Genomic DNA, 24,415 nt, shown 5'->3' with positions numbered 1-24,415 from the left:
CCTCCAATTTTAACAATTGGTGGACATCCTTCTTTCATTTTATACTAGGCTGTATATGTTGTTCAACATCATTTTTTCTTATGCATGTGTATGTGTCTGGAGCAGAAGTGGGAAAAGTTGAGTCACTTATGATCACCTCATTATACTACATTTTTTAATTTATTTGAGGCTAGTTTTTAGGACACCTATTTCATATATAAAAATCTATGAGTAAATATTTTAAAATGCTTAATGTTTCAGTAGTTGTAAAAAATATAAATTCACACTTTTTAGGATTTTATTGTGTTTTTAATGTCCATATGTAATGAATTTCATAGTTGCTTAGAGGCTTCTGTTGACTAACTCAATAGGTTATATTTGTGGAATTTTGAGACATCACTGCAAACACTTTGACATTCTTATCAAACCGTGGTCCCTCCCCTTGAATTTTGGCAAGACTCGTGGCTTTCTCAGCAAAGAAAGTATACTGGAAGTGACAGCATAGTTTTGAAGACTGTGTTAGAAAAGGCAGTCTGTCTCCGTTTGTCTGTCTGTCTATGTCTTTTACTTATACCTCTTTCTCTCTCTCTCTCTCTCCTCCCTCTTTCCCTTTTTCTCCCTCTATATACTTTGGAGCCCAGTGTTACACCCAAAGTCCTGATGATAAATGACAACTCGGGGAATGATGCAAAGAAGAGACTAAGAAGTCATGATTATTCAGTCCCACAGGAATTTGAGTCTTTTGACATCCATCACCAAGTACGTGAATGAATGACCTTCAGATGATTACATCCCCAGCCACCCTATTAAAGTAATGACCTGAGAAATACTGTGTATGAACCATCTTGCTGAACCTACCCAACACTCATGCTATGGAAATTGTAATAAAATGCTAATTGTTTTTCAAAGTCCCCATGATTGAGGGTAGTTTGTTAGGAAGTGATAAATAGCTACAAGGATATTTCTAAAAATTTAATTATACATTCATAATAATATACACTTAATATAGAGACAAGAAAATGGAAACTACAAATGTGACATTTTGAAAATAACTAACTCAGAAAGGGGAGTCAGCGTAGCATGGTGGTTAAGAGCTCCTGCACTCTGGATCCAGTTAGCCTGGATTCAAGTCCCTGCAAAACCTCTAGAGAATTATGTGGGGTTTGGCAAGTTGCCTCACCTGTACACCTCAACTTCTCCATCAGTGAAACGGAGATGGAGTAATGCCATTATTCACCTCCTGTGGCTGATGAAAGGATGGATGCATTAACTTGGTAAAGCTCTACAGTTGCTGTATGTAGCAAAATAAATTTGCATTAATTATAATAATTATTAAATAGACAGAAAAATTTCCACAATGATATGAGTCCTTACCTAAATTACTTCACATATTTTTTAAAATGTAAATGTTTCAAATGTAAATGATAAAAATAACAGCATTTGCTATTTTTAAATATGTAGGAATTACATTTATTGTAATTTAATTAATCAAAGGATAACAAATCAGTGCCTCTGGGCAAACTCTGGCCAACCACATGTTTTTTTAATATTTGAGGTAAGAATCACATAAAATAATATGTACATTTTAACTATTTAAAAGTGAACAATTCAGTGGCATTCACAGTATTGTGTAACTACCATTGCAATCTAGCTCCAAAACTGTCACCAACCTAAAAGGATGTGTATACACATTAGACAGTCACTTGCCATTCAAGCAGCCCATAGCCTGGTAACCTCGAACTGTCTGTTAAAATCATCCTGTAGTATATTAGGAGATTTTTTTAAAAGGTATACAGCAATATCATTTTCAACTAAATTTTTTTTTCTTAATTTTCACGTGTCCCATTTGTTCTTAAATTGCAATATTCTAGTATGTAAAAATTTACTTTTTATGTCCTTTGCCCAAGTTTTAATGAAGTTGTTTCTTCTTGTGAATGTGTTTAAATTTCTTATAGATGCTGGATATTAGACCTTTGTCAGATGCATAGTTAGCAAACATTTTCTCCCATTCTATGGTTGTCTGTTTACTCTGTTGATAATTTCCTTTGTTGTACAGAATCTCTTTAGTTTGATTGAATCCCATTTGTTAATTTTTGCTTTTGTTATAATTGATTTTGCTGTCTTCATTATGAAAACTTAGCCCATTTCTATCTCTAGAATGGTAGAGCCTAACCAACAAGCATATGAAATATGAAAAAAAAGCTCAATGTTACTGATCATTAGAGAAATGCATGTCAAAACCACAGTGATATTCCATCTTACACCAGTCAGAATACAATCTCACACCAGGTACTGGTGAGGTTGCAGAGAAAAATGAGTGCCTATACATTGTTGATAGGAGTGTACATTAGCTCAACCACTATGGAAAACTGAGTGTGGTGATTCCTTGAAGGCCTAAAAGGAGAACTACCATTAAATCCACCAATTGCATCCCTGGGTATATACCCAATAGAATAGATATCATTCTATCATAAAGACAGCTGCATATGTATGTTCATTGAAGCACTATTCACAATAGCAATGACACAGAATCAATCTAAATGCCCATAACTGATAGACTGGACAAAGAAAATGTGGTACATATATACTGTGGAATACTATGCAGCCATGAAAACAAATGAGGTCATGTCCTTTGTGGAAACATGGATAGAACTAGATGCCATGATTCTTAGCAAACTAATACAGGAGCAGAAAATGAAATACCACATGTTCTCACTTATAATTGGGAGCTAAATAATGAGAATACATCAACACATAGAGAGAAACAACAGACCTAATAGAGGGTAGAGGGTGGGAGGAGAGAGAGAATAAGGATAAATAAATATAAGTCATGGGTTTTAGGTTTACTACCTGATGATGAAATAATATGTACAACAAACCCCCATGACACAAGTTTACCTATGTAACCAAACTGCACATGTATCCCTGAACTTATAATAAAAGTTTAAAGAAAAAATGTTTTTTTCTCCTTGATTGTTGGCTTAATTTTTCCTAAATATATGCAGAAGGTGGAGATACTTTACAAAAAAAATTTGTACCAGCCCCTTCAAAAATGGTAGAATTAGAAGTTCCATGGAGCAAATTTCAAGGGAAACAGTGATAACTAGTGAAAATTGTTTTCTAAAACAACCAGTCGATGCCTCTGGAAATAACCCTGAAGGCATACAACAAACAAAGTAACATGTACTGAAGAAAATACACTAATTTGTGGTGAAAACAGTGAGAGTCTTTGGCATTTAAACCACAACATGCTCACTTGCCCACCCTCGTAATTCACTGTGACAGAAACTACCTTTGCTCCAGGGAGATGCTGACACCACCACAGGCTTCCCACTCCCCAAAGCTTCCAGTTGAGGGCCAGAGTATGCTGTTGAGGAGAGATGTCTCTCTGAATTTCTTATCTACACACACTAAGGCATATGCTGCAAAAGCTAAATTCCTCCAGACAAGTGTGGCTAAGAAGGGTCTCCCATCTTTCATCTAACCACAGTCATAACTCAGAGGTTTAACTCAAGAATGGCACAGAGAATATTGAGTACCAAATAATCACTGCCCCAGCTCATTCATAGGATGAAGTTACCATGATGGGAGAGGAAAAGTAAGAATAAAGGTCAGAGCCTTACTCTTAAGGCATGAATGTTGCTCAGAAAGAAGTGTGTCACTGTCTCTGTCCCCAGCTGTATAGCCAAGGTCAAGACTTAACTGCACCAGGAGAGTCAAGCCATAAACACATAGCTCCAAATCTGTTCCCAAAGAAACCTGTTTTATTTTTGAAAATATGAGAAGTTTTATGTTTAAAAATGTGAGAAGCCTAAGAGTGCTCTAAAAATGTAGGTATTGGTGCATATGTATAATTATTTTTATTTTTTGTTAAGTGTATGTTTAAAAATATAAAATTTTTCATTTTCTTGATTAATACTTTGGCCTGAATTATGTCTGATCTGATAAGATTTTTGCTTTTTATTTTTTATCATTTATTGAATTTACCTCATATTTCTTAGTCCAAGTCAAATTTTTTCAACTTTGTAAGTAGTTTATACTTGAGGTTGATTGTTATATACAGACAGATGTTAAAGTTTATGTTGTTAGCCAGAAGAAAAAGCTTTTCTTTCTTTAGTTTCTGTACAGTATTCTTTTTTATTCTCACACCAAGCATTTTTAGAGATTATAGGTACCTGCTATTGAGCTCTCAAAATAAGATGGGATCTATGTTATTATCAACTAAACTTTTATTCACAAAATTTGCTGTATAATGAAATTATTTTCATTTGACTAGAGTTAGAATTTGTCATCGTGCCATAATTAGGAATCTTTAAAAGGCATATTATAGGCCCTCATGTTACTTCATAATGCTAACTGGATTATAATAATAATATATTGCTATAACATGTATTATCAGAGTTTGAATATATCACCACACATCCTTTATGCAAAGATTGAGAACATATGACCTAATTTCTACATAAAGTATGATAAATGTAAAATGTTGTTTTGATTTTACATACTTTACATGAATTGCATACACCAGGAGTAACTAGTAAAGTTGAGTGTACAAAAGTGAAAGTGAGTCGATCGTAGACAAAGAGTACAGATTTGGTGAGAGTTTATTAGAGTAAGAATGAAAACAAAATAAAAATGTAAATTTTAGAAATATAAAGATATATGTGAAAACGGCATAACTGATATGTATGAAACATGAAGTATAAAGAAAGTATAAAGAAGGCAGAAACTAACACTGGTAATCTCTAATATCAGAAATTATCTGTATATTTACTATTTTTAAAGTTTTTATATAAAGTTATATGTATGTAAAATATGTGCGATATATATAATTTATTACAAAGTTTCATGTGGAATGTTAAAATTATCCAATTTTTGAGGCATCATTAAAGTGACTCAAGCAGAAAAGGTGTAATCTGGACTGTCCTAAAAATCTGGGGCCTATTAAAACACTCTTCATATTTATTTAACGTGTATGGATATTTTTCACGAAATGTATATTTTTTCATGAGAGAAATTTCTAAATTTCTTTAAATTATGTAGCCCAGTAGAGTCTTAAATTGAAAGGCAGTAGTTTGAGAATTTTAAAAATTGTTTCCAGTAGGACATATGGTGCACAATCATACATTTATTACATAAATATAGTATGCTTAATGTTGTTTACTTTAGTGTATGAGACTTTCCTATTAGCACTTGTACTACAGTTACACATTGTGATGATGAGAGACACCCACATGACATATACCTACAAAGACACGGCTCAGGCAAATGCAAAGCATGCAACTAACGGCTTTTAGGATCAGCCAGGTTCCTATAGTTTCATATGCACCTGAAAGTGGGCAGGACCTGCTGAGATCAGCTATACTAGCCTAGATCAAAATTGTGAGAAGAACCATGAAACCATGAGTTAAACAGTTTTTTTTTTAAGATATTAAGAAATGAGGTAGTTTGTAATGCAGCAACAGAAAACTAATAAAAGACTTTCTCCTTGAGTTATTCTCCATGTTACAAGTCTTTTATCATTAATATACTTTATTGAGAATGTAAATGTGCAATACATCTGAAAGTACAGACCATTTGGGCACCATCAAAAATAGAAAACACAAAGTCCCACTGTGCTCTTTATTAACATTTGACAATGAGGCATCCAAGAAAAGTCTGGAGGCCCAGTTCTTCCCATTTTTTCCAGCCCCCAGTAAAGATAACAGGAACAGTGATATGTGACCATTTACTATATTGTATGAAGTTAACATTTCAAGCAGAAATTCTAAGAAGTTGATCCATGTGTTAATGTTTAATGGATCACCATTAGAATGGTGTTCTTTATAGCTTAGAAAATAATTCCACCACATCTGGAAATAATTTTACTAACCTTTAAATCCAGGCTACACTTGTCCTCATTTCCAGTCTTCACTGTCTAATATATTTAATATATAGTCATCTGGGAGAATGAGTGAATACCCATTAATGTCCATATCCACATTCTTCTTCTTCCCTTGCTTAGTGCGTTGGGACATACACCAATCTGACTAATTTAAGGTATGGTCTCTCACCTCATAAATTCCCCTAAACTGATTAGGAAGCTTTTACTCATGTCTTGTAGCAATTCTTTTGCATATGGTGAGCATCTTACTGTCTAAAGCTGTCTCAACCAGTCCCTCTATACACTTTCCTGAACACCTTCTGCACCTGATGCCAACATATGTATTCAAAATATATTCCCATAATCAGTGTGATTCTTTTAAAGTACACTATGAAACATATATTAGTTTAATTCACATACTGAGTAAATTTCTTCTTAATTTTTAGATATTCTTTGTAAATATGACTTTCTAACTCTGACAACACTTCTCTTTCTTCAACGCCACAAACCTCTCCAGTTTTGCCTCACTCAGTATAAGCTGGGGCACTGGTGGCATAGAAAAAAAATTCAGGACGGGCGCGATTTCTCATGCCTGTAATCCCAGCACTTTGGGAGGTCGAGTTGGGTGGATCTCAAAGTCAGGAGTTCAAGACCAGCCTGGCCAACATGGTGAAACATTATCTCTATTAAAAATATACAAATTTGCTGGGCTCTGTGACACACTCCTGTAATCCCAGCTACTCTGGAGGCTGAGACAGGACAATCCCTTAAACCCGGGAGGTGGAGGTTGCTGTGAGCCAAGATTGTGCCACTGCACTCCAGCCTGGGTGACAGAGCAAAACTCCATCCCAGAAAAAGTAAAAGAAAAAAAAATCATTATAAACTGTAATTATTGTACTTTCTAAGCACTCCTTTTTAGAATATTCTTTTAAATATTTAAAATCTTCTTTTAAAGCTCAGTCAGTAAAACAAATATCATCATTTACCTTTCTTTCTTAAGTACTTTCTTCCATCCTCAGCATTATATTCTTCTTGAATATCAGTTTTTGTTAGTTTCATGATCATGTTAGTTTTCAAAATAGTGGTAATAATTACATCTTGGGACATAGAAAGTTCTCTAACCAGTTTCTCCATATTTATCGCTACCCAGCCAACCTGTGAATAGCCTACTTTCCTTTAACACAATATTCAGTTTCACATTAAATAAAACTGATGATTGTGCTTCGTTTACCGTCACTTAAACCATGGTTTACAAGGACTTAAAACTTTCACTTAAACATTTTTTAAAAATTTGAATGATTACTACTAATTTTCACAATATACTAAATTTGATGGTGTCAACTTGACCGGATTGAGGGATGCCTGGATGGCTGATGAAGCATTGTTTCTGAGTGTGTCTGTGAAGATATTTGCAGAGGAGATTGACATGAGAATTAGTGGACTGAGAAAGGAAAACCCACCCTCAATGTGGGCAGGCACCATTCAATTGGCTGGGGTCCCACCACGACAAAGCAGGTGGAAAAAGGGCAACACTCTGCTCATGCCTTTGCTCCTCTCTCTTTATTCCACAGTGGAACATCTTTTTTCTCATTTTTTCCTTTGGATATAAGACTCTAGGATCTTCATCTTCTGGATCCCGCGACTTAAACCAGTGGCCCGCTGCAGGCGATCAGGACTTTGGTCTCAAACCGGGGACTTCACTGTCTGGTTTCCTGGATCTATACTTTGACTAAGCCAGGCTTTTAGTGTCTGTGGTTCTCCAGCTGGCAGATAGCTTGTTTTAAGACTTCACTTTATTGATCTTCTGAGCCAATTTTCCTAAAAATTCTTTTCATTTATATTCTATTGTTTCTGTCCTTCTGGAGAACCCTGACTAATACAGATTTTGGTACCAGGAGTCATTCTAGAGGAACGGAATTTTAAGGATGAATTTCCTTAATTGTTGTTGGGGTTTCTGGAATTGGCTGTATAATCTGATTAGACCTAAAAGTCCTAAGAACCCTACTTCCGATAATACAGAGACCATAGATAGTTTTTGGCCTAAGCTGTTTATAAAGATATGCTAAAAAATGCATTTTATACACCTAATTTACCACTTACAAGAGGCAGGGTATTTTGTGACACTATACATGATACTTTCAGAAATTTGTGGAAAACCAATAAATATAATGATGTTGGTTTGTTGCTAACATTGCTGGACAATGTTGAAAGAAAAGGATGAGCTCAGAGATTCAAATTCTTAGCTGAAAATGGATATAGCCTAAGCATTTCTACATGTTCCCTAAAGGAGAAGCATCTCTCCTTTAGCCATAGGGATGAAATGGCTGAAAATCAAAGAGAAACCCTAGTCATTTAATTAGCTGACGTATAGAAAAGATGGATTTTCAACCTCACTGGGAGTCTGCTGTTAAAATGAGGGCATTGATTGAGAAAGAATGGGACCCTGTAAGTTGAAATGGGGATCTATGGGAGGACCCTCATGAAGCTAGGGACATTTAGCCTAATGTTTGAGTAATTTTGTTTGTTTGTTCGTTTGTTCTTTGCCTAGGCAAGTGACCTCCCACCTCAATGACAGTGTCATTCCTCACCCATTCCCACAGTGTCATCGGTTTTTCCACCTATGTCAACGTAACTGCATTGCCGGAAGTAACAGTAATGGCCTCTCCTGAAGCAGTTGGCAGGTGAAGCAAGGCTGATTTTCCTCAGGACCTATCCTAACGACCCCTTTTGGTTTCTAAACCTATAACTAGACTTAAGTCTCAGCAGGTCCCTAAAGGGAGATTCAAGATATCACCCATGAGGAGGTGCACTGCACTCTGAAAGAAACACCTGAGTGTTCTAATTTATATAATCAGAAATCGGGTAAACATATGTGAAAATGGATAATAAGGGTGTGGGAATAACAATAGAAGAGACACGAAGTTTGATGACACCAAATTAATATATGTGGTCTCATTAAGTAGAGATTCTGCATTTAATATAGTACATTGGGATGTAGCCAATGATTAGGCTGGAAGGTTAAGGATTTGTGAGGGATTATAGGATTGATGATGAAGAAAATTAAGGAAAAACTATCTGGATAAACCTCTTTGAGGGGGCAAAATATATGAAGACATTTGTGAGTCATGTGAATGTTCTTCAAAGAATGACATCACTAGAAGAAAATTTTAATAATAAAGTGGATGGGATGACCCCTCCTGTAGATCTGGGGTCAGACTCTTTCCTCAGCTACCCCTGTTATCACCCAATGGGCTCATGAGCAAAGTGGCTATGATGGCATTGATGGAAGTTATGCATGGGTTAAGCAACATAATCTTTCACTCACTAAGTTCAACCTGGCTAAAGCCACCACTGTGTGCCCAATATGCAGGAACAGAGAGCCATGCTAAGCCCCTGATATGGCATCATTCTCCAAGATAATCAACCAGCTTCCCAGTGGCAGATTGATTACCTTAGACCACCTCCATCATAGAAGGAGCTGCATTTTTTTCTTACTGGAATACATACTTATTTTGAATATGGATTTATCTTCTCTGAACATATACATCTGTCAAAACTACCATCCATAAATTTACTGGATGCCTAATTCTCTATCATGGTCTTCCACACAGTATTGTTTCTGACTAAGGAACTGGCTTTACTGACAAAGAAGTGCAACAATGAGCTCATGCTCATGAAATTTACTGGTTTTACCATGTTCCTCATTCTCCTGAAGCAACTGCCTTTGTACTATAGTGAAATGGCCTTTAGAAGTTATAGTTACAGTGTCAGCTAGGTAACAGTACTTTTCATGGCTGGGCCAAAGTTCTCCAGAATGCTGTATGTGCTATGAATTGGCAGAATCAAATAGACGCAATAAAAAATGATATGGGGGATATCACCACTGATCCCACAGAAATACAAACTGCCATCAGAGAATACTATAAACACCTGTACGCAAATAAACTAGAAAATTTAGAACAAATTGATAAATTCCTGGACACGTACACTTTCCCAAGCTTAAACCAGGAAGAAGTCAAACACTGGTTATTCTAGTTAGAAATTCATCTAACCTCTTTTCAAGGTTCTTAGCTTCCTTGCATTGGATTACAACATGCTCCTTTAGCTTGGAGGAGTTTGTTATCACCCATCTTCTGAAGCCTATCAAACTCATTCTCTATCCAGTTTTGTTCCCTTGCTGGCAAGTTGTGATCCTTTGTAGGAGAAGAGGCATTCTGGCTTTTGGAATTTTCAGCCTTTTTACACTGGCTTCTCCCCATCTTTGTGGATTTATCTACCTTTTGTCTTTGATGTTGGTGACCTTCAGATGGGGTCTTTGAGTGGACATGCTATTCTTTTCTGTTTGTTACTTTTATTTCTAATTGTCAGGCCCCTCTGCTGCAGGTCTGCTGGAGTTTGCTGGAGGTCCACTCCTGACCCTGTTTGGCTAGATATCACCAGAGGAGGCTGCAGAACAGCAAAGTTTTCTGCCTGTTCTTTCCTTTGAAAGCTTCATCCCAGAGGGCCACCTGCCAGATGTCAGTCAGAGCTCTCGTGGATGAGGCATCTTTCAGCCCCTATTGGGAAGTATCTCTCAGTAAGGATACACAGGAATCAGCGACCCACTTCAGGAGGCAGTCTGACCCTTAGCAGAGCTCGAACACTGTGCTGAGAGGTCCACTGGTCTCTTCAGAGCCATCAGGCAGGGACATTTAAATATTGAAGTTGTGCCCACAGCCACCCCTTCCCCCAGGTGCTCTCTGTCCCAGGGAGATGGGGGTTTTATCTCAAGGTGAATAAATGAATAAATAAATAAATAAATAAATAAATAAATAAATAAATAAATAAAATCATTGACTATAGTCACTCTGGTGTGCTATCAAATAATAGGTCTTATTTACTTATTCTTTAACCTTTTAACCATCCCCACCTAAACCCCACACCCCCATTATCTTTCCCAGCCTCTGGTAACCACCTTTCTATTCTCTATCTCCACAAGTTTAATTGTTTTGATTTTTAGATCCCATAAATAAGGGGTAACATAAAATCTTTGTCTTTTGGTGCCTGGATTGCTTCACTTAACATAATGATTTTCACTTCTATCCATGTTGTCAGAAATGATGGAATCTCTTTTCTTTTTATGGCTTAGTATTACAGTGTTATGTGTTTGTACCACATTTTCTTAATCCGTTAATCTACTGATAGACACTTAGGTTGCTTCCAATTCTTAGCTATTTTAACAGTGCTGCAACAAACCTGGGAGTGCAGATTTCCTTTCAATATATTGAGTTCCTTTTTTAAGTATATATTCAGCAGTGAGATTGCTAGATCATATGGTAGCTCAATTTTTAGTCTTTTGAGGAAACTTCAAAGAGTTCTTTATAGTGATTGTACTAATTTACATTACCAAAAACAGTGTACAAGGATTCCCTTTTCTGAACATTCTTTCAGCATTTGTTATTGTCTGACATAGCTAAAAGCCATTTAACTATGGTAAGATAATATCTCATTGTAGTTTTGATTTGCATTTCTCATATGTTCAGTGATGTTGAGCACCTTTTTATATGCCTGTTTTTCATTTCTACCTCTTCTTTTGAGAAGTGTCTATTCAGATTTTTTGCTTGTTTGTAACTTGGATTATTAGATGTTTTTCTATAGATTTGTTTCAACTCCTTATATATTCTGGTTATTAATCTCTAGGTATTTTATTCTCTTTGAGGCAATTGTGAATGGGAGTTCACTCATGATTTGGCTCTCTGTTTGTCTATTATTGGTATATAAGAATGCTTGTGATTTTTGTACATTGATTTTGTATCCTGAGACTTTGCTGAAGTTGCTTATCAGCTTAAGGAGATTTTGGGCTGGGACAATGGGGTTTTCTAGATATACAATCATGTCATCTGCAAACAGGGACAATTTGACTTCCTCTTTTCCTAATTGAATACCCTTTATTTCCTTCTCCTGCCTAATTGCCCCGGCCAGAACTTCCAACACTATGTTGAATAGGAGTGGTGAGAGAGGGCATCCCTGTCTTGTGCCAGTTTTCAAAGGGAATGCTTCCAGTTTTTGCCCATTCAGTATGATATTGGCTGTGGGTTTGTCATAGATAGCTCTTATTATTTTGAGATACGTCCCATCAATACCTAATTTATTGAGAGGACAAGAATTTAAAGCTCATAAATCTGCTTGTACCTCAATCCCGTTTTTAATGCCGTGTTTCAACATGAAATGGAAGAAAGCATAAAGAATTGAGTGGAAATAAATGATTTAGACCCTGATGTTTTTAAAGAAATGATGACATTCATTAACACAGGGAAAGAACTAAACCTTGACAAAATGACGGACAACTTGTTGGCAGCTGCAGACAAACATGCACTGGGAACAGCTAAAGGTCATGTGTGAGGAAGCTTTGTAGTAATCTCTCAGTAGAAAATATTGCTGATCCCCTTGTCCTTGCAGATTTGCATGTTGCAGAACAGTTGAAAGCACAAACCATAGACATTATTAATAGGTGCAGTGTACTTCGACAACTTCGCTGTAAAGATAAGAAAAACTGGAATGTCAACGAAGCAACCAACATAATGGAAACATCAAGGTGAAAGTGCACGATTCAGTCTCACCCTTACTTAGCAGCAGAAGCCTTCTGAGCACTAGCATCTGCACAGTGTCCACAGTTTGGCATTCCACACACACGGCTAAAACAGTCCTAAATCTTCCATGAACAATTGAAAAATGGAATTGACTTTTAGTCATTCAAGTCCAGAAGGATTCTAATACATAAACCATAAGAAAGAGTTGTTTCTGTTATTTGGTCCACAGAACAGAAGCTTAAAAAGCATATTTCTTGAATTTCAGGTGGATAATTAATGGTTTATTTTTCAGGTTTAAGTTAGACTGATTAAATCACTTCAAGGCCTTAAATTATTTTCAATGACTTCTCTTGTTCATATAATGTTTTAATTTTTTTATTGTGCCTTGTCATTTTGACCAATGCTATGCAGGATTATATAAACTAGCTTTATAATGCAGTAATATTGATAAGTGAAGATATTAAGTTTCAAAAGGATCTTTTATTTTGAAAAATAAAACTGAATTTTATAGGGTTTGTCCTACGCTGTCTCAAGGTTTAAGATTAAATTCTCTTTAAAAGCACTCGTATTGGAGTTTACCAGTAATGTCTTCAATCTAAGTTCTATAAATATGAGAGAACCTACTTACCTTCCAAGTAAGTTACAGCAATACACTGCTTCAATTCTAATTTATTTTTTATTTCAAGGGGCAAATAAACAATGAGTTGGCCCAGATTTTTAGTGAAAATTGTGATGTTTGTCTTGTATGTTAACTGTCCAATAAACTGTGGGTTTATCTAAGTTTACAATATATGAGAATTGAATGAGGTTTAAATATCATGAAGAAAGCATGTATTGTGTGGAACTAGTTTTTTTTTAATTTACAGTGACCTACATTTATATGTACATGTTAAGAGTAAGTATGACCAAATGTAAATTTAATGAGTGGGTCAATTAGCAAAGATATATATATATACATAATATGTATATACACACTTTCATTTTTACTGTGTAACTTTGTATGCTGAATGGTACATATTTATTTTTGCTTTTGAGATAATTAATAAGGTAGAATTAATTGTGTTTTAATACTTGAAAGAAATTTTTAAAAGGAGGCAACTGGGATGTTTGGGATAATAAATAAGAAAGATATTCTTGATTGTATTAAATAGTTTTGGATTGCAGATATTCATTATTGAATTTACTCCTGTTTTTCACACTTTGGAAAATACATCTAACAATAAATGAATCTTGGATAGTCTACTCTCCTTCAAAACCTGAACCAAAGGCCAAGGCAGGTGGATCACCTGAAGTCAGGAGTTTGAGACCAGCCTTGCCAACATGGCGAAACCCTGTCTCTACTAAAAATACAAAAAATTACCCAGGCGTGGTGGTGGATGCCTGTAATCCCAGGAACTTGTGAGGCTGAGGCAAGAGAATTGCCTGAACCGGGGAGGCAGAGGTTGCAGTGAGCCAAGATCGCGCCACTGCACTCCAGCCTGGGCAACAAGAGTGATACTTCATCTCAAACAAAAAAGAGAGAGAGAGAGAGAGAACTGATACTTGCCTGTGGGAGATGCAAACAAAAAGAGAGAAACTTTAGAGTATATCAGGTCACACACCATGAGCATCCCCACCCATCTCTTATTTCTTTGTGTTTCAGTTACTGTAATAACATTGTGGATGATATGGAAATTCTGCTTAATATGAATAGTTATAAACTATAATTTGGAAAAAAAATGAATGACACCAAATGATAACTTGAATTTATAAGAACAAAAAAGAATGGTAATGAGGAGGTGTAGTGTGGCATTTTGATATTATCATGATATTGGAGGCAGGTAACAGATATCAACAAATTCTGCCCTGTCATTTAGTACTTTTGTTTACAGGATGACTGAAGAATACACACTACAAATGTTATAAATGTTATCAGAAAGAAGTTATGTATTAATGGGTAACTTCACTAGCACAATAACAAGAAGTAGGTATTGAAAAAAATCTGAAACGTATCATGGAGTTTAGGCTTTCCATGTAACCTGGGCCGTTTTACTTACCCTAATTTTGAAATAGGCCTATTCAGTATGTTGTTCAGAGGGCTATTCAGAGAATGGAAACCCAAGGCTCACCTTTCTTGAGTCTAAGTACCCACTCAGCCAAGTATATTTAGCAAAATAGAAAAACCAAACTGCTTTGGTGACTGGACTTTGCCAATGTCTGAAAGAAAGAAGTAACAGAAAGGAGAGTCTAAAGTTGATCCTGTACAGTATAAAACATTTCCCCAAAACGACTTTGCTTCTAACACCTATATTGATGCTACCTCCCATCTGAGAAAGAAGGGGGATATAAGCAGGAGTCAAGGCCAGGCACAGTGGCTCATGCCTATAATACCAGCACTTTGTGAGGCCTAAGTGGGAGAATCCCCTGAGCCCAGGAGTTTGAGACAAAGCTAGATGACTTAGAGAGAGCCCATTTCTTTAAAAAAAAAAAAAAAAAAAAAAAAAAAAAAAAAAAAAAGCAGGACATTGAGGTGAAATGCCTGTAGGGTTAGTTAGTCAGGAGGCTGAGGCAGGAGAATTGATTGAGCCCAGTAGTTTAAGGTTGAAGTGAGCTATGATTGCACCACTGCTTCACTGCATTCCAACTTCAGAAACACAATGTGACCCTCTCTCTCTCCCTCTCTCTTTCTCTCTCTTTCTCAGAAGAAGAAGGAGGATGAGGAGGAGGAAGAGGAGAAAGAAATGATATGGAAGAGGGGCAGGGAACTGCAGGGAGGAGAAGGGTGGGTCCCTGGCAAGGGCTCCACCCTTGGCTTGTGCCCAGGGACCTAGGTGAGGACAGGCACTCCTGCTTTCACACCCAAATGTTGCATTTCCCAAGATCACTCTGCCTTGCCACACCCCCATCATATGCCTATAAAACTCCTGAGACTCTAGCAGGCAAGCACACAAGTGGCTGGACGTCAAAACGAGTGGATTAGCAGAAGAAGAAACAAGTGGCTGGACATCAAAAGGACATCCAGGGGAGCACGCAGGCAGGCCATCAACTGGCAGAACAATGCGGAGTTTGGCTGGGGCAATTGAAGAAGAGTCAGGCTGCTCAGCAGCCCTACTCTAGGGGAAATCCGTCTGCCTGCTGGCTCCCCCATCTGCTGAGAACTACTTCTACTCAATAAAACCTTGCACTCATTCTTCAAGCGCACGACAATCCCATTCTTCTGATAAACCAAGGCAAGAACCCCTGATATAGAAAGCCCTTTTTTCCTGTGATAAGGCAGGTGTCTAACTGAGCTGACTAACACAAGCCATCTATGGACTGCTAAACTAAAAGAGCATCGCATACCGGGCAGAAGGAAGCCAGGCAGGAAGAGAGGTTCAGATGCTCCTTCCACCATAAAATATAGTAATAACTAGCTTTCTAATATGTACATCACAACTTTGATATTTGAATATTTGTAAAGCAGTTTTTAGTTTTATATCCTGTATAGCATTCTTGTAATCATCTATACTAATATTTTTGATGCAAATGTGGAGTTACTTTTACAACTCAGATAGCAAGTAGATGTTCTAGCATGCATCCTGCTTTTTGGGGGGCTATAGTAGGGGATATGCAGTTTTCTTTATCCACAGTGTGCTCTTTCTATTTGTCCACTTGACAATATTGTACTCATTCTTCAAGTCTCAAGTCACATACCACTTCTTCAATGTGTAGCCTTCACTTATTGCCCCAGAGAACTTGGTGCTTCTTTCTTGAGATCTGAAAGTAATTTTAATGCAGTTTTACTGTTGCAGTAATTTGTTATCTAGAGAACACTGCCCATTTCATTGCCTCATATTGAGCATTGCTCATTTTAATTCTAAGACTCACCACAAATAATTATTCAAAAATTTATGTAATCCTAGGTCATCTAAAAACCAAAGCTTTTATACCTCATGGTGGAGCCAATGGCACCTATGAGAGGATCTACCATGGGATCCCTGTGGTGGGCCTTCTTTGTTTGTAAATTAACCTGATAAGTTTGCTCACATGAAGGCTAAGGCATAAGCTGTTAGAGTAGACTCAAAAACAATGTCAACTATAGATTTGATCAATGCATGAAAAGCAGTCATTAATGACTCTTCATGAATGTATTTTTTTAACTACATAGCATGTGTTGATAACTTCTCACATGAAGGCCAAGGAAGCAGCAGTGACTTTAAACAGGAACACAGCACTGAGTACTTTTTTTTTGGTAATGCTTAAAGACAATTGTCAATAAACCACTGTGAGTATCACAATCTGTTTTTTTGGTGGTTTTAGTGGAAACATTTGTCAGAGATTTTAGGATAGTACATACATTTTAAAATAGCCAAAAAGTGAAATAAGAGGAATTGCTGAAGATGGTAACAGGAAGATGATAAGGAAGACTGAGAACAAAGTTGAAGGAAAGAAGCATGAACATTATTACAGCACTGACTAATTTTCAGCACAGTTATGAGGGTCTTTTAGGATGAGATCTCATCAAATATTAGTCTTTAAATAAATTTTGTTTTGTCTATTGAAGGTATGTGAAGTGATATTTTGGGATACAAATACTTAGTTAAAAGACTACCATAATGAAGTAAATAAACATGTCCATCATCTCACTTTACTTACCCTTTTTCCATGTTTTTAAAACTCTTGTAAAATAATTTATTTTCAGTAAATCAGCATGACAATCTATCTCTAATTCCCATTATATTTAATGCTTTCCAAATTTTTATGCTTACATTTTGATCCCATCACTGATAACTTGCAAGCAACTAAAGCTTTCAAACTTGCCTTTAAAAATTATTGAAAAAAGAAAATACTTTATAAGTGTAGCCATATTCTTGCTCTTATGGTTGTGGTTGCTTTTGCTTATTTGGAAGATTTATAAAATTGAGAAATAATTGACTTGAAAGAGATAAATTGGAATATTCCCATTTAATAGCCAAAATGTCTGAAACCAGAAATAGAGGATTTTAAAATTATTTCAATACATATATTAATTTCAGTTATGCTATTGCTATTATATTGGTAATATGAATAAATTTTAATTAATGCTCTGTTGAAAAATAATTTTTAATTAGTTAATGAACATTGTATATGAAATGACATGCATTATATTGGTAATTTGTATTATGTAACTTCTTGGTTATAGTTTTTCCCAATTGTATTAAAAATATGTATCAGGATTAATGCCCTCCTCTAAAAAAACATAGTCTTCTTACTCTGTTTTTTAAATATCAAAGAGAGAAGTTACCTCCATTGATATTGCTACAGTGCCATGCTTTAGCAATTTTTGATTTTGACTTGGTAAGCCTCATACTTATATTCATCCTTATTCCTTATTAGTCAATAATTATTTCAACACTCTAAATAAATGGAACTACAATGCCTCAAAGTAAAATATTAAGCACCACTTAGATTTTAAAATCACAATGCAAGTAAAACAGTAATAATAGTGAACATCTACTTATTCTCTTAATGATGAGAATAATTCTACCAAGTATCCTAAAAATCATTACATTACTACTCACAATAATCAAATAAGTAAGGTACCATTCTTATTCATTCAATTTAACAATAAAAAAAAAACTAGGAACAGATACATTAAAAAAAAAAGATCAGTAGATATCAGGTCATGATTCAAACTAAGGCCATTTACTTTTATATTTTTAATCACTAATTCACTGATGTAATGTCAGTACTAATTCCTGATCAATGTCAACTTCTTATCAGCTTTGCCCTGACATGTACCTGAACCTTGTCACAGATTTGTCTCCTATCTCTAGACTTTGATACTATTTTGAAACACGCACATCAGGTTCGTTACAATTTCATTAATGGCTAATTCAACCTCTGTACCCTCAAATGATTTCTTTTTATCCTTCAGACTTAACTAATTTTAATTTCTAGGATGGAAATACTTGTTCTCTCTTAAATTCTCTTTTCACATTTTGAAATCTTATGCATCCAACAAATTCTAACCCATAAACCAAAATCTCTATAACCACCAGGAAATAAAATATTTTATTTTTCATCTACTTTTATGTGGCACTAATTGTTAACATCTACACAAAAATTTCACATATTTATATTTTATATTCCATAAGTTTATGTCTATTTGATTTTCCTTTAGCAGTAAAGAGAATGTTATATGGTTATCGGTCATTCATTATGATCAGCTTATGAAGCCCATGGACCAAAAAGTCTTCTGGATCAAGTTTGTCATGCGCCACAGAGGAGCCAAGTACTTGCCGCCACCTGCGAAAAACCTCATCTGGTTCCAGCACTGCTCTCTGGTTGTGCTGGCCTGCGAGGCAATTTTTACTCTTTTTTCATAATATGTTCCTTGTTTGATTATCAAAAGTTTGTTAAGACAAGAAAGAAAAAAAAGAAGGTAGCACTGTTTGATATCTAAGGCAGGCAGGCATGATAGGGAAGGTCATGACATTTAATGCCACCACTATTCATCAAGGTGTGGCAAAATTCTCCTCTATATTTCACAAGACTTGTGCCTTCCTGATTTATTCAAATATTTTATTCTTTGCTAAATATTAAGTAATATACAATTTTAATTTCAGAAAACCTAAAATAATTCCATTTTAATGCTTACTCATGTATATTTCTAAGCTAAAAAAATGAGATGCACTGGAAACTCAGGCTGTTTATTTATGAAGGTCAGAAATAGTGCATTTCTACTGTGCATTTTTAGAAACCTCTTTTTTATTTTTATTTTATTTTATTTTTCATTTCCAACATTTATTGTAAGTTCAGAGATACATGTGCAAGATGTGCAGGTTTGTTACGTAGGTAAAGAATACTCTTCTATATAAACAAATCACAATGATGTGTATTATATGTGTCCCTGTCAAAGAAAAACAGAGCAAGATCCTTCTTAAAAATGGCAAGACAGATTTTATTCTGACTACTGAAGTAGGAGATAGAGACTACTGTATAAATTGAACTGAACTCTAACTAAGACAAAGGTAATTGAGGCTTTTAAAGAGAAAACTGATATGAATAAAAATGAGGAAAACAAGGAACTAGTGGGTTACATGGAAATGAAAAATTACATAAAAATTAAGAGGGAAATAATTGAAAATTATGAGGCAACATGGGTTAGACAGTGTATGTTTTGCAGTTTGGCAGGATCATATTCTTTAGAGCCAAGACCTACCATGGAAGTTAGGGTGACCTTTAAAGACAAATTCCTGACCTAGTACACGTATAAGTTAAGCTAAACTTGGCCAAGTCTCTTAACATGGTGTTTAGGCAAGTCTTTTGTGCTACATGGGAGTTTAAAATTCAAATCCTTCATGAAATACAAAATAGTTCTTAATGGAAATGTTCTTTGCTTTAAAATTATAGGTGGTCGTAACTGACTTCCTATACAAAACTATGCAACCTGGTAAAATCCTTGGTTAGAAAGACTAAAGATGTTTTCCACATGAGGCCTTAAATATGCTTGAGTTACTATTTTCACTTTAGTAATGACCCTTTGTAACTGGATAATAATACACAAAATAAAGGAAGAGGCTAGTTCCCTTTAGTTAGGCATTATAGACATGGTCCCGCAGGTTTAGCCCAGTCTCTCTAGATTATAATGTTACATGATTTCTCTCCTGCAACAAGATCTCACTATTTCTTGGCCTTATTTTGTTAAGCCAGACATTTCTGACTTCTTTAATACCGGGAATACTGAGGATACACAAATCAGAAATATATATAATCATTTTACTTGTTCTCCCATCATAATATGAAAAAATAAATTGCAGATGGAATAAAGAGCCAAATATCCTGTGCAATAATTTTTAAAATCTATGTTGAAGAAAGCATAATAAATGGCAAAAGATCTCCAAATCCTGCCTTTAAATATTGGTCATTACAGCCTCTGGATTCAGAAAAAGGTTTGCAAAGCAAGTCACAGAGAAGAAAGAACTCAACTTAAGAGCAGTTCTTCTGTCTGACAAGAGATGTGCCTGAACAATCGGATGGAAGAGAGGCATAATGATCATTTCTAACACATGAAAAAGATTTTTATAGTTCTCTTTTCTATAAAAAATATTTTTATCAACAATTGGTTATAAAACAAATCATTTTAATATCTAGAAAAGGAATATACACTGAATATTTTACTTTATTAAACTTTGAACATATAGTCATGCCACTAGAAAGAAAAAATAACAAAGTGTAAGAAAGGAAAAAAGTAATGCATTCGTGCACTTTTAATTATAGTAATGTCTTTTTATTAAAGAGGGAAAACTTATAGATAAATATGAGTCTGAGGCAATAATGATGCTCAACATGTACTACAAAAGCTAAATTCTAGTCTGTTTATATTTTCTTAATGAAGTATCTTCTGAAAATGTATCAGAATATATCAGAATATACTTTCCTAATAAGGTATGTTATGAAAATAGATCTTCTTTGAAATTTTTAGACCATATATCCAGATACATAAATCTATGTCTATCCATGAGTGAACAAGTAATATTTTCACTAGTTTAATTTGAGGAAGACTTTCTACATAAAGTGATATGTACATATATACTTAGGAAAATATATGAACATGAAGGTATACTTGATGGAGAGTCATAAAAATTCCATAGTAAATTGAACTACAAAAATTGCAATAATATGATGTGTCTGCTTCTTAGAGATTGATTCTACAAGCTTTTAAATATCTCAGCAGTTAAAAACATTTAAACACAGAAGAAACTAATTATGTTGGGGCATCTTCTGTAGGGGCACTGCACATAACGGGAATGGGAGTCAAACATCTAGATGTTCCCACTTAGCCTCTGGTCATCCAGGGCTCATTTTCTGGGAGGAGCAAAATGTTCTTTCTCTTCAAAGCTGAGGAGCTCAGTCCCTCATTTATCTATAAAATGACAGTTCTATCTTCATGCAAATGTGCAGACAAGCCAATTGAGTTTATCTTTTGGATAAAAGGCAATGGAGAAGACTCTTCAGAATGCACCCCAGAACTAGAATTAGAATCCTAAACAACAACTTCCTAGGAAAAAAATAAGTTCAGGAAAAATTGATGTCTGTCAACCAAAGGGAGATCCAGGGCTCAAGAGGACTGACCAGTTCCATCAGAGGAGCTTAAAGTTTGAAAGGCCTTCAATGGGCCCCTTCTGGTACTTTAGTTTCAAGTTCAGGAAACATTTTGGGGGTCCTGGGTTTTCTGGGAGTTCCCACATGTTCAAGTGTCAAATTATTGTGAGGAAATGAGTCAAACTCTGTAAAATATTCAAAGAGATTTATTCTGAGCCAAATATGAGTGACTAATGGCCCATAACACAGCCTTCAGCTGTTTAGAACATGTGCCCAATGTCCTCAGGCTACAACCTGGTTTTATACAATTTAGAGAGATGTTCCACATCAATCAATACATGTAAATGATACATGGGTTTGGTCTGAAAAGGTGGGGCAACTGCAAGTGAGATTCTGAAGGTCATATTTAGATTCAAAGATTTTCTGATTGGCAGTTGGTTAAAAGAATTATCTTATTGTCTAAAGCATTAGAATCAATAGAAAAAAATGTTTCTTTTCAAACTTAAACAGTGTATTCTATCAGTATTTTGTTCTGTGGTGATGTAATGCTGTCAGCTTTTTCTGAATTCCAAAATGGAGGAGGCTCTAATGGAGCTCGTCTCATTTCTCCCATTTCCAAAATGGCCTGAACTAGCTTTTCAGGTTAACTTTGGAATGCCCTTTGTGAGCGGAAGGGTTCATTCAGATGATTGCGGGCCTTAGAATATTATTTTTCATTAACATTTTTCCCCTTCTTGCCAGGGTTTGCCAGAGGCAAGGTCAATGGCCAGCAAACTCTTATTTTGTTCCATAGCATTGCTGGGATGGCATGTGCCCTGGGTTCCTACTGTCTGTGGTTGAGACACCTATGGCTAAGAGACTTAGAGCCAACATATTTACAGTCAACTTAAATGTACTAGACCAGACAGGAATGAATACGGACAAGCATTATAATTAACTCTTAAAATTTTTAAAGTAATATAAAACCCAAGAAACAGAAAGCCAAAGTTGAGGTTAAAAAACTAACTTATCTTAAATTGTTATATGCATAGCTAATGTAGTCTTTGTTTTAGTTACTGACCTATACCAATTAGCTATACAATACATGAACATTGTTAAAAATGCTTTTTTGCAATTTAGAGGCTTTTGCTGTGCTGCAAGACTTTATGAAGTCTTTTAGTAATTTAATCTAATGTGGCTTAAAAAAATTGTTTCAAATATGTATCTATCTAAATAAAATCTCATAATTGTGAGTATTATATCCAGGACATTTTGTCATGAGGTATCATAATATTCCCTCTGTAATAATTTTATTTTAGTTCTACAGGAAACAGAAAATTCTTTATGGTTGGGATAAATAAAAATGTGTCATATAATAGCTCAGAAAGCAAAGTTCCTAGTTTTTCCAGCTGTTTATCTCCCCTTCTTGACTTGGAGGGTCTGAATTAATTCTATCCCTCAAAACCGGCCCTTACAATCTCATGGTCCCACCATTTCTGTGGTAGTCCCTGGACATAGAGGGAAGGTACTTGTATTGTTTTACAGAAGGCCATTTGCAGTAAAAAACAAATCAATCCCAATAGGATTTCAAATGAAGGAGATTAACAGGCTTTGTCAAATCATCTCTAGTCTTCGGAATAGCATGATTCTGATTTTCTCAGAACTAAAACTAGGGGGAGACATTGATAACATTAATAATTTGACAAAAGAGAATGTGGGTGCCAGAGGAGAAAAAAAAAAACTATTCCATTAGGGTGCCAAACAAAAACATGAAGAAAAATGATAACCTGGTATTCTTTAGGAGATTATTGCAGCCAAGAAATGAGTCATGATTCAACCTGCACTCAAAAACAAAAGTGACTTTTCTTTTGAAACAATGTCTCTCTCTCTAGTTGCTTTTCATACTAAAAAAAAGTTCAATTTGTGTGCAAAATAAGTTTCAGGATTATTATACTTGGCCTTATTATTCACATAAAGTTCAGCAAGAATTGTTTGGCCACATAGGCTCTTTTCAAGTTAGCTTTACTGGAACTTTACGTAAAAACGTTATTCTAGTCAAAGCCTTGGTAAAATAACTGGTGTCTCCAATTGTCCTATTTTAAAAATATATATTTTTTACTAAACTTATACCAATAACAATATTACCACACAATCAAAAGACTCATGAACAGTTTGCAAATTTTGGAGAACTCAGAGAGGTAAATTTGCTTACAAAAGCAAATTTTACCCAATTGCTCTAAACTATAAAAAACTCAAAAGAAAAATATTTCTTTGACTCCTCTTTAACTGGAGCAGCAGCTTTCCAAACAAGAAGGCATGTATTCACCTTTGAACTGCCATTCACAAGATAAGCAGCTCTTGTAATATGAGAGCTTTTTATTAAGCACTGTAGAATATAACAGCTCCTCGCATAGTCAGAGTCCATCCTAAGGAGAAAAAGAGGCTCCCTGTTCATAAATATGTCTTTCTTGCATCCCAGGTAGCAAGATTCTGTATAAACCATTTTTATTTTATCATGGAACTCTTTCAGTCACCATTATTTCTGCTAGCATAGAAGTAGTTTCAGTTAACATCCCATAGCAAAGCTGTAAATACTTCTCAAGTGGAAATTCTCTAGTCCAAAGTCCCAGTAATTGTCATTTGAAAGTGCTCACAGGCTTTTGCCATAAGCCCAAATAAACTTTCCACAAAGGGCTATGAAGTGAAGGATTTGTCTCAACCAGCACTTTAGCTAGTACTCACTTAGCTGTCCAAATAGCATTTTTCAAAGAGCAGGTTTACATGCCTTCAACTTTATACAACTACATCAGGAAAATCTCCCCCATTCAGATAGAATACCCATTTTCATAAAACATTTAGGTAAAGGAATCACAACCACCTTACATATAACCTGTTTAAACATCTCAAATTTCATAATCCTCTCAACATTTACAATTTTATGCTCTGATCCCAGGAGCTTTTCTTCTTTATCTTCAAACCA

At 35.4% G+C, this 24,415-nt stretch overlaps 2 pseudogenes; both read left to right on the top strand.

The window, feature by feature from the left end:
• The window catches only part of LOC101930041 (UDP-glucuronosyltransferase 2B10-like), a 47,384-nt pseudogene that overhangs the window by 12,297 nt on the left and 10,672 nt on the right, over positions 1 to 24,415 (top strand).
• On the top strand, positions 11,969 to 14,115 carry SPOPLP3 (SPOPL pseudogene 3; annotated as a pseudogene).

Source organism: Homo sapiens, chromosome 4 (assembly GCF_000001405.40).
Source record: "Homo sapiens chromosome 4, GRCh38.p14 Primary Assembly".
Classification (NCBI taxonomy): Eukaryota; Metazoa; Chordata; class Mammalia; order Primates; family Hominidae; genus Homo; species Homo sapiens.
Note: the sequence above shows the minus strand (reverse complement) of the source record. Positions and strands in the feature narration are given on the sequence as shown.